General features: G+C 56.2%; 1 annotated feature.

Moving 5' to 3' along the window:
• Positions 38–197: a silencer, noted in NCBI's record as "silent region_4444". NCBI's record gives its function as "represses an Ori minimal core promoter by ATAC-STARR-seq in GM12878 lymphoblastoid cells {active_cell/tissue: GM12878}" and the evidence as "EXISTENCE:reporter gene assay evidence [ECO:0000049][PMID:35858748]".

The following is a 2,054-nucleotide window of genomic DNA, read 5'->3' as shown; positions in this document are numbered from 1 at the left end:
AGGGGAGAGGGTGCGCGTGCGCGCCTACGAGTGTCTGCGAGGCTGTCTCTGGGCTGGTGTGCGCGCGGGGCCCCGGATCCGGGAGCGGGACCCAGGGCTCCCCGCGCCGCCTCGCCCCTCCTCGCGGCCGCTTTCGGCGGCGCTGCCTCTCTCCAGTCCCGGAGCCGTCTCCCTGCCTGCGAGGCCCTATGGCTTGTGTGTATGACTCTGTGTGTGGTGTGTGTGCGCGCGCGCGTGTGTGCGCGCAGGAGGGAGGGTGTCTGCCCCTAGCGTCCCTCTCCCCGCGCTGTCTCCTTCGGATCGATGCTCCTGCCTCTTGCTGCTGCTTCCTCTGGTGGCACACACGCGCGTACACACACACATACACACACACGCTCCGAGTCACACTTGACTAATTCAAGCACTTAGCCCATATGGAGACAGACACACATACCGACCAGAGTCACACCACACCATTCACAACCACACCCCCCCGCAACAGATGTCCACGTATCCCGGGGGCCTGACCCACATGGCAAGCACTCACCTGCTCTTATCCCTGCTCCCACCTGCATGTGACACATATACACGTGCACATATGTGAGCCAACACGCAGCCTTGACCACTCAGATCCCATCCTTGTAGCTTTGGGCTTGTGGGGGGCATGGTCGCAACCCCTTACTGCCAAATCTCCAAAGAAGGAGCAGAGAAAAGGAAGGAAAAATAGCCAGAGGTCAAGGGAATTTGGACAGAAGGAAGGAGGCAAAGGGAGTGAAGGGGACAGGGTGAGGAAGGGTTGGAACGGGGAGCTATGCTCAGGGATGGAGCAGAAGTCTCAGCACAGAACGCAGGCCTGGGGGCTGCTCCTGTGGCTCTCACCTTTCTCCTTCCCTGCCTCCCTCCTCTTCTCTGAGAGGCCTTGGGGAGGGGGGCCCTCCCTATCCAATTAACAGAGAAGGAGCAATCAAGGGGAAGTTGTTAATTTGCTGATGCTCATTAGGGGCTCTTAGCACAGAGGCTGTTGAGGTCTGATGGTGTCAGATGATGAGGAGGAGGGTGCGGGGGACCAGAGTTCTGTCTCTAGTGGCTCCTTCGCTCTACTTGCAGGCTGGTGCGGCTCGGGGAGAAGGATGGTGAGAGGTGTATTCCTAGGACATGGTGCCGGGCTTTAAGTTAGAAGAAAACCTGTAACGAGAAGGGGATGGCACATTGGAAAGAAGTTGGATGAGAAGTTGGGAGTAGTGGACATCTAGGAAACCAGAGAAGGGGTCTGGAGGTCCCTAGTGGGAGAGTGGACTTAAGATTGTGGAGGAGGGAGGTCGAGATCCATTTACTAGGGGACTGGACACGGAGCTGCCAAAAGGAAGGGAGGATCTTCCATTCAGGTCTTGGGGAGCTGTTCAGCGGTACCAGGCAGTGCTGGAGGGTTGCTATGCCCCCGGGCAGCCACTGGGTGGCAGCCCTCTCCCAGATACTTAGAATCAACTCGTGGGGGGCATTTGAGAGTGGGAAATCACCTGGGAGGGTCCCAGAGACCTGAGGAAGCATCAGGCAGAGTCTGATTCCTGAATTCCAAATATCCTCAGGGGGAGGGGAACACTATTTTGGAGCATCTGTAATTTCCCCACCTCCCCGCGGCTCGCAGGCTGACTGACACGTGGAGCCTCTTCAAATGGCTGCAATTGCTTCAGTCACCTGGGATGTTACTGAGGGAGCAGCGGGGGTGGAGGGAAGGTGATGAGGTGAGGTGGAGGCAGGCGAGGACTGATTGAGGCCAAGGAGCAGCCTCAGGAGGAGTCTGGGGGAAGACAGAAGGTATGAATCAGGAGAATCAGCTTCCAGACCTGGCCCTGCCATTCATTAGCATAGGCAGGCCCCTTGACCTCTCTGGACCTCGGTTTCCTCATCTGTAAGGCAGAGATAATATTTATTTCACAGGATTTTTCGAGGATTACATGAGCTAACGCATGGAAAGTGCTTAGTACATTGGCATGTACCTAGTAAATCCCAATAAGTAAATAACTATTATTAGTATTAGCATTTGGATCTAGTGGTAAAACCACCAGTGCAGCCAA

Source organism: Homo sapiens, chromosome 12 (genome assembly GCF_000001405.40).
Source record: "Homo sapiens chromosome 12, GRCh38.p14 Primary Assembly".
In the NCBI taxonomy this organism is placed as follows: Eukaryota; Metazoa; Chordata; class Mammalia; order Primates; family Hominidae; genus Homo; species Homo sapiens.
Note: the sequence above shows the minus strand (reverse complement) of the source record. Positions and strands in the feature narration are given on the sequence as shown.